This window comes from Homo sapiens, chromosome 12, assembly GCF_000001405.40.
Source record: "Homo sapiens chromosome 12, GRCh38.p14 Primary Assembly".
NCBI classification, from domain to species: Eukaryota; Metazoa; Chordata; class Mammalia; order Primates; family Hominidae; genus Homo; species Homo sapiens.
In genome coordinates, this window is record NC_000012.12 from 58,990,844 (window position 1) to 59,008,345 (window position 17,502).

General features: G+C 34.4%; 1 long non-coding RNA gene across 1 annotated transcript in view, besides 1 other annotated feature; it reads left to right on the forward strand.

The window, feature by feature from the left end:
• Positions 1–17,502, forward strand: part of LRIG3-DT (LRIG3 divergent transcript) — a 210,172-nt gene that overhangs the window by 70,140 nt on the left and 122,530 nt on the right. The gene's annotated exons all lie outside the window — the stretch shown is intronic.
• Positions 14,361–14,530: an enhancer, noted in NCBI's record as "experimental_30226 CRE fragment used in MPRA reporter constructs". NCBI's record gives its function as "activates a minimal promoter by MPRAs in K562 erythroleukemia cells, with activity observed for both the introgressed and non-introgressed 12:59399070 variant alleles {active_cell/tissue: K562}" and the evidence as "EXISTENCE:reporter gene assay evidence [ECO:0000049][PMID:34662402]".

Consider the following 17,502-nt stretch of genomic DNA (forward strand, 5'->3'; position numbering starts at 1 on the left):
TAGTGCTTGCCACGTGATACTGTCAAGAAAAGAGCATGTTTGGAACAATTTTCAGGTCTCTTTAATTTCTCTGACAATGCCTATTATCATTATTTTCACTTCACTGCATATGTAATTCTGGGTCATAACTTTATTCCTCAAAACTGTCTTGCTGTTTTCCCATTGTCTTAGAAATTTACAGTTGCAGAAAAGGATGAAAGATGCCAGATTTATTTTTAGGACACCTGTTTCCTCAGTTTGGATTAAAAACATATATTTTCTATGTCTTTGAATTCCAAAAATTTTGCTGAAATTCATGTAAGTATGGGTGCTTTTATCAGTAGTTTAATCTCAAACATGTGTGACCTTTCAATCTACCTATGGAGTTCTTTCTTTAGCTCAGAAAAAAGTTTATTATATTTTTGTTCAGTGCTTTGTTTGGTTCCATTTTTATCCAGGTTTTCTAACATAAATGTTTGTTTTTTACAAATATTTCGTGAGCAGTATAGAATACAGTTTCTTCTTTGTGTGTGCACGTATGTGTATGTGTATGAAATCAGCCTTTTTAATTACACTTATCTTCTATGTTCATGTTTGTTTTTGACCATTTGATATTTGCCTTCCAAAATTTTAATTAGCTCTCTCTAAATTTGATAACTTGTTTCTTCACTAAGAAACAATTTTTCTACCTTTTTCCAATACTTGAATTATTAAGTAAATGTTGATGTCACTAAGACATATTGAAAGATAAATAAGCCAAATGCTTTTGAATTGTGATCTATTTAAGAATGTGTCAATATTAAGTTTTCTATACTATTGTGATTTTGCCTATTTCTCCTATTAACAATATTTAATGAAATACGATTTAGGGCATAAAAGTATATGCTATCTTAATGATTTATCCTTTATCATGTTAAAATGTCACTCTTTAAAAACTATCTATTTGATATTTATTTTTAATGTTTCTGGTATTGAGTTTCGAATACCTAAACCTATTATGTTTGAATTTGTCTAAAATATGTTTGTCTGTCGTTTTTGGATTTTTGTGATGTTGTTTTAGCTTTGTTCTTTGTAATCAGCATACTCATGTAAACACCAAATTTTGTCTTTTGATTCAGTTTACAAGTCTTTTAACAAGGAATAATTATCCATTTTATACTTGAAAAGTTTTAAATAAATAGTGCACGTTCCTGTCATTTTGTCCTTTTTCTTTTTTGTTTCTCTATACTTGCCTCTATGTTGCCCCTTTAAAATTTTTATTTGTCTTGAAAAAAATTTTTTTTAAGTTACAGTATAGTACATGGTTTATTATCTTTTATGTCTTCCACTCTTTTGGAAAGTATAATTTTTGCAAAGTGGCTTCCTTTAAATTTTCAAACGTTATGTTTAATCTCTATTCAGCTCATTTTCAAAGTTGAGTAAAATATTTGAGTGGCTCCCTTTGAGATATGGTGTTTAACATGCTATAATTTTCTTCTATCTCTTCCTTCTACCTCCTTTTCAATATAACATGGAATTTTAAATGCAGATAATTTGTATAATATTGCATAATTTTACACTATACTTTTTAAATAAATGGACTGATATTAATTCTTTAAGTCTTAGCTCAGGTGTTGCCTCCCCCGCTTATGCCCCCTACTTCATAAAGTCTCTCATATTTCTTTTTTTTTAATTTTATTATTATTACACTTTAAGTTTTAGGGTACATGTGCACAATATGCAGGTTTGTTACATATGTATACATGTGCCATGTTGGTGTGCTGCACCCATTAACTCGTCATTTAACATTAGGTATGTCTCCTAATGCTATCCCTCCCCCCTCCCCCTACCCCACAACAGTCCCCGGAGTGTGATGTTCCCCTTCCTGTGTCCATGTGTTCTCATTGTTCAATTCCCACCTATCAGTGAGAACATGCCATGTTTGGTTTTTTGTCCTTGTGATAGTTTGCTGAGAATGATGGTTTCCAGTTTCATCCATGTCCCTACAAAGGACATGAACTCATCCTTTTTTATGGCTGCATAGTATTCCATGGTGTATATGTGCCACATTTTCTTAATCCAGTCTATCGTTGTTGGACATTTGGGTTGGTTCCAACTCTTTGCTATTGTGAATAGTGCCACAGTAAACATATGTGTGCATGTGTCTTTATAGCAGCATGATTTATAATCCTTTGGGTATATACCCAGTAATGGGATGGCTGGGTCAAATGGTATTTCTAGTTCTAGATCCCTGAGGAATCGCCACACTGACTTCCACAATGGTTGAACTAGTTTACAGTCCCACCAACAGTGTAAAAGTGTTCCTATTTCTCCACATCCTCTCCAGCACTTGTTGTTTCCTGACTTTTTAATGATCGCCATTCTAACTGGTGTGAGATGGTATCTCATTGTGGTTTTGATTTGCATTTCTCTGATGGCCAGTGATGATGAGCATTTTTTCATATGTTTTTTGGCTGCATAAATGTCTTCTTTTGAGAAGTGTCTGTTCATATCCTTCACCCACTTTTTGATGGGGTTGTTTGTTTTTTTCTTGTGAATTTGTTTGAGTTCATTGTAGATTCTGGATATTAGCCCTTTGTCAGATGAGTAGGTTGCGAAAATTTTCTCCCATTTTGCAGGTCGCCTGTTCACCCTGATGGTAGTTTCTTTTGCTTTGCAGAAGCTCTTTAGTTTGATTAGATTCCATTTGTCAATTTTGGCTTTTGTTGCCATTGCTTTTGGTGTTTTAGACATGAAGTCCTTGCCCATGCCTATGTCCTGAATGGTATTGCCTAGGTTTTCTTCTAGGGTTTTTATGGTTTTAGGTCTAACATATAAGTCTTTAATCCATCTCTAATTAATTTTCGTTTAAGGTGTAAGGAAGGGATCCAGTTTCAGCTTTCTACATATGGCTAGCCAGTTTTCCCAGCACCATTTATTAAATAGGGAATCCTTTCCCCATTGCTTGTTTTTGTCAGGTTTGTCAAAGATCAGATGGTTGTAGATATGCAGCATTATTTCTGAGGGCTCTGTTCTGTTCCATTGATCTATCTCTCTGTTTTGGTACCAGTACCATGCTGTTTTGGTTACTGTAGCCTTCTGGTATAGTTTGAAGTCAGGTAGCGTGATGCCTCCAGCTTTGTTCTTTTGGCTTAGGATTGACTTGGCGATGCGGGCTCTTTTTTGGTTCCATATGAACTTTAAGCTAGTTTTTTCCAATTCTGTGAAGAAAGTCATTGGTAGTTTGATGGGGATGGCATTGAATCTATAAATTACCTTGGGCAGTATGGCCATTTTCACGATATTGATTCTTCCTACCCATGAGCATGGAATGTTCTTCCATTTGTTTGTGTCCTCTTTTATTTCATTGAGCAGTGGTTTGTAGTTCTCCTTGAAGAGGTCCTTCACATCCCTTGTAAGTTGGATTCTTAGGTATTTTATTCTCTCTGAAGCAATTGTGAATGGGAGTTCACTCATGATTTGGCTCTCTGTTTGTCTGTTATTGGTGTATAAGAATGCTTGTGATTTTTGTACATTGATTTTGTATCCTGAGACTTTGCTGAAGTTGCTTATCAGCTTAAGGAGATTTTGGGCTGAGACAATGGGGTTTTCTAGATATACAATCATGTCATCTGCAAACAGGGACAATTTAACTTCCTCTTTTCCTAATTGAATACCGTTTATTTCCTTCTCCTGCCTAATTGCCCTGGCCAGAACTTCCAACACTATGTTGAATAGGAGTGGTGAGAGAGGGCATCCCTGTCTTGTGCCAGTTTTCAAAGGGAATGCTTCCAGTTTTTGCCCATTCAGTATGATATTGGCTGTGGGTTTGTCATAGATAGCTCTTATTATTTTGAGATACGTCCCATCAATACCTAATTTATTGAGAGTTTTTAGCATGAAGGTTGTTGAATTTTTTCAAAGGCCTTTTCTGCATCTATTGAGATAATCATGTGGTTTTTGTCTTTGGCTCTGTTTATATGCTGGATTACATTTATTGATTTGCGTATGTTGAACCAGCCTTGCATCCTAGGGATGAAGCCCACTTGATCATGGTGGATAAGCTTTTTGATGTGCTGCTGGATTCGGTTTGCCAGTATTTTATTGAGGATTTTTGCATCAATGTTCATCAAGGATATTGGTCTAAAATTCTCTTTTTTGGTTGTGTCTCTGCCAGGCTTTGGTATCAGGATGATGCTGGCCTCATCAAATGAGTTAGGGAGGATACCCTCTTTTTCTATTGATTGGAATAGTTTCAGAAGGAATGGTACAAGTTCCTCCTTGTACCTCTGGTAGAATTCAGCTGTGAATCCATCTGGTCCTGGACTTTTTTTGGTTGGTAAACTATTGATTATTGTCACAATTTCAGAGCCTGTTATTGGTCTATTCAGAGATTCAACTTCTTCCTGTTTTAGTCTTGGGAGGGTGTATGTGTCAAGGAATTTATCCATTTCTTCTAGATTTTCTAGTTTATTTGCGTAGAGGTGTTTGTAGTATTCTCTGATGGTAGTTTGTATTTCTGTGGGATCGGTGGTGATATCCCCTTTATCATTTTTTATTGTGTCTATTTGATTCTTCTCTCTTTTCTTCTTTATTAGTCTTGCTAGCGGTCTATCAATTTTGTTGATCTTTTCAAAAAACCAGCTCCTGGATTCATTAAGTCTCTCATATTTCTATGTGGACTTAATCATGTCTTCCTCTTTGAATATTTTTCATGTGTTCTTTCCAGCATGTTCCCTATTGGCATCATAATTACTAGTGTAGACATATTGCTGGCATTGTAGAAGAGTCCTGTATATTTAAACTACCATCAGAAGTTTTATGTTGTTGAATAGAGGTCACATAACCCTGCTTTTTGGCTAATATTGATTTAACCTGGTAATTTAAATACATTCTTAGTATATGTTTATTCTAATTGAAACCTTTCCTTTCATCATAGATGGGAGGTGAGGTATGGATAGAAGGAATTTCAAATGATTTGGATTTGGGTTTGATGTGTTAAGCTCACTTTCTGATTTATCTGCTCCACAAGTGAGATGTTTTCCAAGGAAATCAAGCATGACGCTTGTGTCTTTTGATACCCTGTGCTCCGATTTCAAACATGATGCAGCTGATGCTGATGCCCCCATCACTGAGAACAAGAATTCTCTCCCTGAGGTTGTTAGCATTACTGGTACCACTCATGACTTTAGGCAAAATGCTTATTGATAATGTCATATTTTTACTCTTAAGGAAACTAAACTCATTGATTTCTAGAATTTATCTAAATGATGCTACAAAGTTTCAAACCTATGTTTATCATAATTGATAAGAACATTTCATAAGAACAATTTCATTTCAAGTGTAAATTGCTGAGCAATGCAACTCCAAGCATTAAATTCAAATATCAGCAAAAATGTATACGTGTATACACCATACATGTTTGTAGATAATAAAGAAAAATAGACTGTGTCCTGCCACATCATATTTATTATGCAAGTTACTTGTAATATATTTAAGTACAAAAATGAAGCTTTGAGATAAAAATTTAAATAAATAAATACAAGGAAAAGTAGTAGAAAGTGAGTTTTTCTCAGCCACACTTTCCCAATTCCCCATTAACTTCAGTGGTATCAGTTAACTCCTCTTTCTTTCCCCACTGATCCCTACCAAACTTTAAGCCTTTGAAATTCTACTCTCCCCAAAGAAGGAGGCTATATCCTTTGCTTACCTGCTTCCCTTAGCTAGGTGAGACAGGTTTTTCTTTATGTCTTTTGTTCACATACTAAATCTCAACTATATGGAGAGGCACTAGAGTTTTCACAGACATTTGCTTGCCTTAAAATTTTTGTAACTTATGCCTTCTTTTGAAACTTTTTTTTTTTACAATAAAAGTGCATGAGACAACTTCAAATCACATCAAATCACATGGCTAATGATATATTAAATGTGGAAAGTTTTTATACCTACTTTCTCTTCTCCCCAAGAGGACACTCTGGGGACTATAAGGAAATATTTTGTTGAAAGGAAATAGTTAAAATTTTGCTTTAACATATCCTTAGCAAGAGCAAGCCATTTATTCTCTTAAACTCAAAGGATAGTGTCCCTTGGGGACAGGGCCAGTCGGATTTGCTCTCCAATCCAATTCTTAGTGAAGAGCTTAGACTGAGAAGGCTGAGTAAATGTTGAAGGAATAATTTTTGCACAGCTTCACTGAAGAATGAAATGGTTGGGAGAAAGGATTAAATAATTTTATAATGGTTCTTTACTCATTATTGCATCATGTCTTCCTATAAAAATATTTTCATACTTAAAGATAGTATACTTCTTTGTGGATAAAATATTTAAGTTCATAAATTCATGTATGTCATTTGAAAACCAAATTTGGAAGCACTGAAAAATTAAATATAAATATTAAATTTCTGCTTTGAACCCACATGGAGTAAGAGGGACTAGATTTACCCTCTCCCCACCCATGTGAACTAGAAAACAAGGTGAAATATATGAGAAACACTGAGGATCTGGCTCAGTGTTTGGTACTGATGGACAATGAACACTGAGAGATGAGAAACTAATGGTGTGAGTCCTATGATTGCCTCAGGTTACTGCCTTGATAGAGTTTCTAGGCCATGGTATAAGTAGAGAGAACCCAGGCAGAGCTTGGTGGACTGCCTGAGTTGGGGAGATGGAACTGGGACTATGGAGGGATAAAAATACCTGGAGTTCAGGGGACAGGATTCAGGAGGATAGCAGGTTGCATGGGGAGAAAAAAGTTTAAAGATCGTAGGAGTCCCATTTGAGTATTTGGCAGAGTATTGATAGGCATGTGTGTGAGAAAAATACCTGAGGCTGACAAAGAGCCAGTTGAGAGTATCGGTGGGTAGAATGCCTAGCACTCTCATAGGATTGTGAATAATACCTACTGGTCAGACTCAAAAACCTTATAATTCACAGGGCACTGGGCAGAGAACTCAGAATGGTCTTGCCTCATTAGAAGGGACTAATTAAACTTAGGCTAAGTGCTGTTCTGATCTTACCTAGCACATCTTAGAAGAAAGGCATGAAAGAATATTTTTAAGTAACTTAAGTGCATCCCAGAACAAAGTTTTAAAATATTTGTAGTAAAACAAAAATATCTAGTACCTGATATGATAAAATTTATAATGTTGGCATCAATCAAATATTACCAGGTATGCAAAGAAACAGAAATAATATGTTATATTACTGATTATCATATTTCTCTTCATAATACATATTACCATATTTCTCTTCTTAATACTGAAGAGAAAAATCAATTAGTCAAAAGCAACCCAGAATTATCAGGCAATGACATTAAGACAGTTATTATCATTGTATTCCATATATTTAAAAAGTTTGGTAGAGACCAGAAAGATACAGAATCATCCAAATTGGACTCCAAGAGAGTAAAACTACAATTTCTAAGATCAAAAATACACTGTATAGAATTATCAATTAGACATTACAGAGGAAAGATTAGTGAACTTGAGGACATAGCAATAGAAACTATCCAAAATGAAATACAGGGATAAACTGTATGAAATAAATAAAGCATCATTGAACAATGAGACAATTTCAAGAGACTGATATATGAGTAATTGAAGTTACTGAAATGGGAGAAACAGAACAAATACTTGAAGATATATGGCTGAAAAGTTTCCAAATTGGATGAAAACTGTAACTATACACATCTACAAAACACAATGAATCCTAAGCACAGAAGTATAAAGAAAACTAAACCTGGACATATTATAATGAAATTGCTCAACATCAGTGATAAAGAGAAAATTCTAAAAGCAGCTGTAGGAAAAAAAGATGTTACATAGAAAGGAAAATTTTAAGAATGACAGCAGATTTCTCTGAAAACAGTGCAAGTCAGTGGATCAACTGAAAGAACTGCAAGGAAAAATACACAAATCCACAGTGATATATCAAGATTTCAATATACTGTCTCAATGTTTGATGCATAAGTCAGAAAAAATATGGAAGCCTTGAAAAATACTATCAACCAATTTGACCTGGTTGACATGTATGAAATACCCACTACTGAACAACAGATAAACATTTTTCCCAAGTGCACACCAAACATTTACCCAAGTAGACCGTATTCTAGACCCCCAAATAAGTCTCAATAGATATATTGAGACTGCAAAACTCATGCCTGTAATCCTAGCACTTTGGGAGGCTGAGGTAGGCGGATCACCTGAGGTTAGGAGTGCGAGACCAGCCTGGCCAACATGGTGAAACCTGGTCTGTACAAAAAATACACAAATTAGCTGGGTGTGGTGGCGCATGCCTGTAATCCCAGCAACTCTGGAGGGTGAGGCAGGAAAATCACTTGAACTCGGGAGGCGGAGTTGCAGTGAGCTGAGATGGAGATCGCGCCACTGCACTACAGCCTGGGCGACAGAGTGAGACTTTATCTCAAAAAAAAAAAAAAAAAAGTTATATGTGAAATTCCCAGATATTTAGAAATCAAATAATGGACTTCTGAATAATTCAGAGGTCAAGGAAGAAATAAAAAGTGAAATTAGAAATTATTTGAATTGAATGAAAATGAAAATAGAACATATAACAATTAAATGCTACCATCTTAAGAAACTAGAAAAAAAAAAGAACTAATTAAACCCAAGGTAAGGAGAAGAAATAATATAATAAAAGTCACAGTGGGAATCAATCATTGAAATAGGAAACTTAAAAACAATAGAGAAAAAGTAAGTGAAAGCAAAAACTGGTTCTTTGAGAAGACAAAGAAAATTGATAAACCTTTGGTCCAAGTGATTAAGAAAAAGGGAAGAAGAGACAAATTACCTATATCAAGAATAAGAGCGATAACATGACTCCAGATTTTATAAATATTAAAAAGATAACTTTATAGGAATAAAGTCAACATCTTAGATAAAATGGACAAATTCCATGTAAACCACACATTGTTAAAGCTCTCTCAAAAATAATTAGATAACTTGAATAGTCATAGTAAAGAAATTGAAGTTGTAATTAAAAATCTCTCCACAAAGAAAACTCAGGTCAGACATCTTAACTAGTGAATTCTACCAAACATTTAAGAATGACATGAAAGAATTTTAAACAAGCTTTTCCAGAAAATTTAAGAGGAGAGAATACTTCCCAACTTATTCTATGAGACTATTATTGTCCTGATTTCAAAATCAAACACATCACAAGGAAAGAAAACTGTACATCATTATTTCTTGTGAGCACAGACACAAATTTTTTTAAAAAGTTAAACAAATCAAATCTAACAATTTATAAAAAGAATAATACATTGTCACTAAGTAGAGTTTTCCAAGGAATGCCGTGTTGGTTTAACATCTCGAAATCAATCATTGTGATTTATTTTGACCTCCTAGTCTCAAGGGTTTCTCCTGTATCAGCCTCCTGAGTGGCTGGGACTGCAGATGCATGTCACTACACCTGGCTAATTAAAACAATTTTTTTTGTAGAGATGGAGTCTTTCTATGTTGCCTAGGCTAATGTATTAATTAAAAACTATACAAGTATCTCAATAGATACAGAAAAACTTTTAACAAAATTCAACATTGATTCCTGATAAAAACTGTTATCCAAGTAGGAATAGAAGGCAGTTCCTCAATCTTCTAAAAGTCATCTACAAGAAACCATCAGCTGTTGTCATAATTGTGAAAAGCTGAATTATTTCTTCTCTAAAACCAGAAACAGTACGAACGTTTCCACTCTCACTATTCCTATTCAGTACTGTCCTATAGGTTCTAGCCAATGTAATGAAAGAAGAAAAAGAAATAAAGATAGCTGGACTGTAAAGGAGGAGGTAAAACTGTCTTTAGTCACAATTGACATAATTGTCTATGTACAGATTTTGATGGGATCTACCAAAATAATTATTAGAACTAATATATGTTTAGCAAGTTTGTAGGACATAAGGTCAATACACAAGAATAATTGTATTTCAGTATACTATAAACTAATGAGTAAGTATTAAAATTAAGAAAACATTGCCATTTACAGTAGCATCAAAATATAAAATACTTAAACATAAATCTAACAATAATGTACAAAATTTGTACATTGAAAACGACATACTTACGATGAAATAAAGGAAAAAGATACCTAAATAAATGGTGAATTATACTATATTAAGGGGCTAGAAAACTCACTATTGTTAAGATGTCAATTCTCTTCTAATTGATTTGTAAATATAGTGTAATCCCAATCAAAATTTCAGTGTAGGCTATCTTTTTAGAAGTTGACAAACTGATTATAAAAGTGATTTGAAAATGGAGAAGACCTAGAATTGCTCAACACTATTAAAAAGAACACAATTGGTGGACTTAAATTCTTCCTGATTTCAAGACTTAATATAAAGCTACAGTAACCGAGACAGTGTGGTGAAAGTGTCAAGATAGACATAGATCAATGGAGAAGAATAGAGTCCAGAAATAAATCCGTATATATATGAAGAATTAATTTTCAATATAAATGCAAAGGCAATCCAGTGAAAAGGGATAATGTTTTAAACAATGGTGCTGGAGCAATTGGATATACATCTACAAAAAAGTAAAAAATAAAAAACAACAACAAAACAATTTTAATCCATACCACGCACCAAAAAAAAAAAGGATTATAATTTTAAATGGAAAACCTACAACTATAAACCTGCTAAAAGAAAGCATAGGAGAAAATTTTTGTAGCTTTTAATTGAGCAAACATGTATTAGGTAAAGCACTTAAAGCAAAATCTACACAAGAAAATGTTAAGAAATTGGACTTCATAAACATTTAAAACTTCTGGTCTTTGACACGGTTAAAAAATGAATGAAAAGGCAAGCTACAGCCTGGCAGAACATGTTTACAAATCATATTTTTCATAAAGGACTTGTATTCAGAATATATTTTAAAACTCAAAATTTAATAACAAGAAAAAAATTCAATAAAAAGAGGAAATCATTTAAACAAACACTTCACTAAAGAAGATAATACAGATGGCAAATAAACGGATTCAAGGACTCTGGATATTATTAGTCCTTAGTGAAATATAAATAAAAATCACAATAAGATTACAGTATGAGCCTATTAGAATGGCTAAAGTTAAAAAGACGGAACTTACTAAGTATCGACCACGATGTAGTAAGAATTCACTTTGGAAAACAATTTGGCAGTTTCATAGAAATTTAAAGTATATAGCTACCGTGAAATGCAGCCATTCCACTCCTAGGAATTTACCCCACAGAAAAGAAATCATGTGTCCAAATGTCTACATGAGGGTTTTTTTTTTTTTTTTTTTTTTTACCGGCTTTATCTGTAATGAGAACAAACTAGAAACAACCTGAATGTTCACCAATAGGTAAATGGATAAACAAATTGTAGTATATTTATATAATACTACTCAGCAATATAACAGTATGAACTATTGATGAATACAAGAACATTTATGAACATGGGTGATTCTGAGTTAATTGTGCTAAGGCAATAAAACCGGGCAAGGTAAAGTAGATACTATATATACTGGAGTAGTGTACCATATGATTTCATTTAGATAAATTTTTAGAATTAAAGTTAGCAAGTTAAATGTTGTTTTGATATAATATTAAATTTTTCAAATTTATGATGGATATGGAGAATCTCAATAGCTCCTTTGTAAAGAAATGCATAATGCTTATCTCAATTCTTAATATTATAAGAATGAATTATTTGGGATTTTAGATCATTTTTAAACTGGCTTGCGAGAGTATTAAGTCTTTTGGGAATCTTTGACTAAAAATTAAGGAATGTGAAGTTCAAAATAGATTTTTCTTTTTAGTTTTCTCACAAAGACAGTTTATTCCTCTGACTTAAATTGGATGATTGGCATAAAAGTATCAAGTAAGCTTCATGCAAGAAATTTTATAGAATATTATGACTTCAGAGAGCTACAGACATCAACGTTTATGATTTTTTCTTTCTGATTTTTTTTTTTCTGAAGGAAACACAATGAGGCAAATGTGATCTGCATAGCTCCACCCTTTGTGAACATCCTTGAGTTGGAAAAGTGCTGTGAGAGGCACGTGTCAATCTTCAGAAGCTGAAGTGACTTGTCTAGGTAGGGAGCATGTTCTGACAATGGAGACCTCCCCTGGGGATGTTTGCAAAGTGAGAGTTCGTTTTCACTCAGCCTCTGTATAATTTCTAAAATATTTTAAACCAGTTTTTATGTCATTTTGATTTTCAAATGAAGAATAGATTCAAACGTTTATGAGGAGTGAACTCATTCCTGAATTTCCCAATATATCCCAATATGTGATTTCTTAGAGATCATCGAAGTGCCTCATACTTGAAACCTCCAAGAGGTCATCTTGGAATGCATTCTATACTAGCAGCTGTGTTTTCTGGTGAGGCCTTTGCACACATAGATTCTTCTTGAAGAAGTTTGAGATCAATAAGGCGGATTCACTATGATCCGTATCCTTTTACTCATCTTGTGAAATTTTCAAATTTTATTTATTTATTTTACATTTTTTTAGAGACAATCTCACTATGTTGTCTAAGCTAGTCTAGAACTCCTGACCTCAAGCAATCCTCCTGCCTCAGCCTCCTGAGTAACTGGGATTACAAGTGCAAGCCACCACGACTAGCTTAATTTTTCAAATTTTTGAATTTGTCAATAAATTTTCCATTGGCATACCTTCACTTTATGTATGTATTTGTTTTAGACCTAAAATTGGTACAAAAAGCATCTGGGTAAGGAGTAAGCATGAAGAAAGATGTGTCAGAATTGGCAGTAAAGAAGAGCACAATGCAAAAATGTTTTTTTTTTCCCCCAAGGTTTATTTATTTATTTATTTTTATTTATTTATTTTTTGAGACGGAGTCTCGCTCTGTCACCCAGGCTGGAGGGCAGTGGCGCCATCTCAGCTCACTGCAACCTCTGCCTCCCAGATTGAAGAGATTCTCCTGCCTCAGCCTCGTGAGTAGCTGAGATTACAGGCACACGCCACCACTCCTGGCTAATTTTTGTATTTTTAGTAGAGACGGGATTTCACCATGTTGGTCAGGCTGGTCTCGAACTCCTGACCTCAAGTGATCCACCCGGCCTCAGCCTCCCAAAGTGCTGGGATTACAGGCATGAGCCACAGCACCCGGCTAAAAATGTTCTTTAAAAATATGTATACCTGTGTCTGTCCTCCTCACCTTCTGGAATAAAATTAAGGAGAAAAAATATCTATAATGTTGGGCTGCATTTAGGAAAAATGTATACAGCTAATAGAGATAGATGGTTTTTCCAAATACCAAATATACATGCTCCATCATTGGTATCTGACTTGTGGAGGCAGTAGCCAATTCAAAAGGGTGATCATTACAGTATTTAAATTCCAAACATAGTTCCAAATAAAAGGACAAATTCGGTAAGAGATAAGCTGGTGTTGGCCAAAAAGAAAAGACTCTCAATATGGCTTTGTGGATCGTGTTTTTAACAACACAAAGATTTCTTTAGTTCATGTTTAAGAAACAAATGATCAGCAGTTCTTTCTGGTGAGTTAGCAAAATGTCACATCTAAATTGATGCTGATAACTCCATACTTAATTGGATAGATTTGGTTAAATAATGTTCATAACAACAAGTTAGTCTTGAGCCAGCCATGGTAGTGGAAGTCACTCTCACTCACTAATTATTGTTGTTGCTATCAATGAGACCCTTTTTTCTAAAACTATTAAAGGGAAAGAAAGAAGATGGTTGATAGTCACAGAAAGAGTGTTTTCCTCCACTTCAGTTTTACCAGTTTCAGTTTTGTAGAATTAGAGCAGCATGTGTAATTGCGCTTTTTGCCATTCATCTGAGTAAACTTCCACAATTGTACAAATAGAGATCATAGAACACATCTTTAAAGCTAATTAAATCAACATGATGGGCTCCTACAGCTGCTTAGATTGTGTCTGTGGCTTTCCAGTACGTAAAACAAATGTGTGGCCATGGAATAATAAACTTCTTGCTTTTCTACCAAAGTAACTTCCCTCCTCTACAAATCTTTACTTACTGACCATCAAGCACATTTTCCTCTATTTTTGTTCTATATTATGGCCCACATTTTACACATTTTAAATAACAAGTTTTAGTAGGGCAACTTTTTTTTTTTCCTGAATACTCTTTTATTTACTTTGATACAATAACAGCTTAATTATTATATAGTAAGTGGAATAAGTCTTTTCTGCTAAAACTATGAGCTGAAGAAAGAATATGATTTCTATAGCATTGTTAATATTTAAATTGTTTTCATATCAGCTATCAATAGCCAAAGCACCAAAGTTTATTTTATGTTTATTATTTTATTATCTCCACTATGATCCTATGAGGCATTATTACCCTCAGTTATCAAAAGATGAAGCTGAAGAAAAAAAGGTGGAGTGATTCAGGGAAGGGAGAACTGAGATTAATGTCCAGTTCTTTTGATTTCCACCTTAGCTTTCTTTGCATCCAAGTAGAATATTGGCTTTGGAAAATAATTGGGGCCTTTTAATTGAGGGAATGGACTACATTCTACTGGCTTTAAATAATTCCTTTTCATATTTATTGGCTAGATATCTGTGAGCAAATTGTGGTCATGTCCTTTTTTTCTTTTTTGCTGACAAGGAAATTTTCTTCCTTACTACTAAAGAAGGAAGTTTGGCGCATTTTGACTTATTTCTTTCAGAAATAAAAATATCTCTCAGTTAGGCACATGTAACACTTGATTTCTTCACTCCTCTCCCAGAAAGTAGGGCAGTGAGGACTCTTCATGTAACTAAAGGCAGGACAATTTTCATGTGCTAGATAAAAGATAAGTTGTAAACCACTTTTGGTAAACTCTTTTTGTCCTTTTTGGGATATTGTTCTGTAACCATGCATACATAACACATTACATATACACGTGTGCTCACGGACACTTGCCAGATAGAGCTGGGGTGGAGCACAAGCCTCAAGTTTCATGGAAGTGTTTTCTGTTTTGGAGCAGAGAAGTGTTCTTCTAAGCCATCTGGCTCCTATTAGTGCAGGTTCTGCTGTCAGCATTTACTTAAATAGGGAGAGGCCCTGTCTATGTCACCCTCGGGAGGATCACTATTTCATGGCTAGATTGGTTTAAGTTTTTATTTATCTACCAGGACAAAATGGTAACACAAATAAATGCCTTATGAGATATTTTCAGAGTTTAGTCATAGTCTCTTAAATATAACTCCATTGTTCATTTCCACCATAGTCTTTATAAACTAAAGCAATCTTAGTAGACCTTCAAATAATATTTGAAAAACATCTTCTCCAATTATATCTAGGAATATCTTTAGCCAAATCCCGATGCACATTTCCTACATAATGTATCTATACACAAAATATGTATAGATATATATAGCAACATGGGACAAGTCATGACGATCCACATGACCACTGGAGAATGTAACTCTTTAAAATATTCTGTTCCGATTTTCCGTTTGTTTTGTTAGAACTAGTACATTTTGCAATTCTGTTACCATCATTATAAGAAATAATATGTGTGGTAATTAAGAACTTGGACTCAGGAAACAGACAGTCTGGGTTTGAATCCTAGCTGTACCACTTCCCTGCTGTGTGATCTTGAACATGTCACTGTACCTATCTGTGCCTTTATCTGTAAAATTGATATCCTAATAATAGCTACCTCATATGTACTTGTGAAGATTAAGCAAATTAATATACATTTACTGCTTAAATAGTGTCTGGTACATGAGTGCTCACTAATTGCAAACTGCTATTTTATTACAAGAGAATATAAAAAATGATCTTAATGTGCTCTTTGTATTTAATACTATTTCACCAAAGGTAATTTTAACTTAATAATTGTTAGAGTTACAAAGTATTTTCCATCTATGTATTAAAAAAAAAAAAAGACATGCAATTTCTTCTTAAGGCAACTCCAGTAATTGGATATTTCGAGACCAAGAAGGAAATAAGGTTACTTTATAACTAGACCCATTGGGGTTAGATGTAAATTCATTTCAAATTCTTTCAGAAAATTCTACTTTCTCTCTTTTAGTTATCCTTTTCATCCTTCTAAAACAATATTCCCTTAGGGGGTAGGGGGAATAACTTTAATCGCTATCTTCTCTGCTCCCTTACCCCAATTTTATTTGGCCAGCAAAAGTCTCCCGGGAATCTCAGTCAATACCAGTCTCTCTCCCTTTCTCTCTGTTTTTCATGCTTCTCATCTCTCTCTCTCTCTCTCTCTCTCTCTCTCTCTCTATCTCTGTCTCTCTGCCCCCAGCCCAATTTTCACTTCCCACTAGAAAACCTTTCACTGATCTTCCAGAAAGTGATTTTTCCCTTCTTTGTGTCATTACCAGATTTTGCTCATTATGACTTATTATATTGCAATTACTATTTGATATGTTTGTTTACCATGCTTGATTGTGACTTTCTTGAGAATACCAATCATATTGACCTTTGTATTGTCAACATCTAGGACAGTGTCCACTACACATTTTTTTAAATTCGGTACATATTTTTTGTATAGATAAATTATGTAGGAGATGTGCATCGGGATTTGGCTAAAGATATTCCTACATATAATTGGAGAAGACGTTTTTCAAATAAATATTATTTGAAGAATACCAAGGAACCCACTCCTCAAATTTGTCTTTTCATTGGCTTGCTGCAGTCACCTATAATCCCCTATTAGGGATCATTTAAAGGTCTTGGTACATGTTTATCTATTTAAGACATTATCTTGTCCAGGATTAGTAAAAACTAACAAGCCAATATGCCTATTAGCAAGGATTAGCTTATGTGAGACTGAAGAGATTGATAAACAAAAATGGTAAATTGTGATGTTAATAGGGTCTGGTGTATGGATTATTAGAGAGGGCATTGATCAGTAAGGGAGTGACTTAGAACCCTAAAAACTTTGTAACTAGGAGCTGGAGTTGAAGGGCATCCAAAGGTTGATAGATATCCTGAAGGCCAACTTGGCTTATGTTGCCATTAAGCTGAGATTTGGCTTCACTGAGTCACAGCAGTCAGAAAAGGGAGCTCCGGGTGAACATTTTGCTTGAGTCATGCAGCTCTCCTCTCTCCTACAAAGGTGGAAAACCAATGTCCACGTGCTAGAGCTCACTGGGCCCATTGCAGTTATACAGGACAGGCACTGCTTGCTCTTAGAAAAATAAATTAGATTCAATAGTGGGTTGAAAGTTTAAAAAAATGATCGTAGTTTAATACAAGACAGATACTCTGCCCTGTTATTTCTTGATTCTCTACTCATTAGAGTTGCTCAGAAAGTTAATCTATCCACACACAATTCATCACATGTGTTTATATTTCAAAAAGATATTGAGATGGGAATTACTGGTTTTATAAGCCCTGTCTGTCTGACTATTAAATCATTTGCAGACTGTCAAACAACATTCACTTTGGAGGGGTTAGAAGGTCCTAGAACCGCACTGCCCCCATTTCCTTCACTGGGAAAAGCTGTTGATATATGAAAAATAGATGTTTAAATAAGCTACCTGCTTTTGTATGAATAACTCCAGGCATTTTAAGCCACATGTGCAGTTGGGTAGAGGACCTCACATA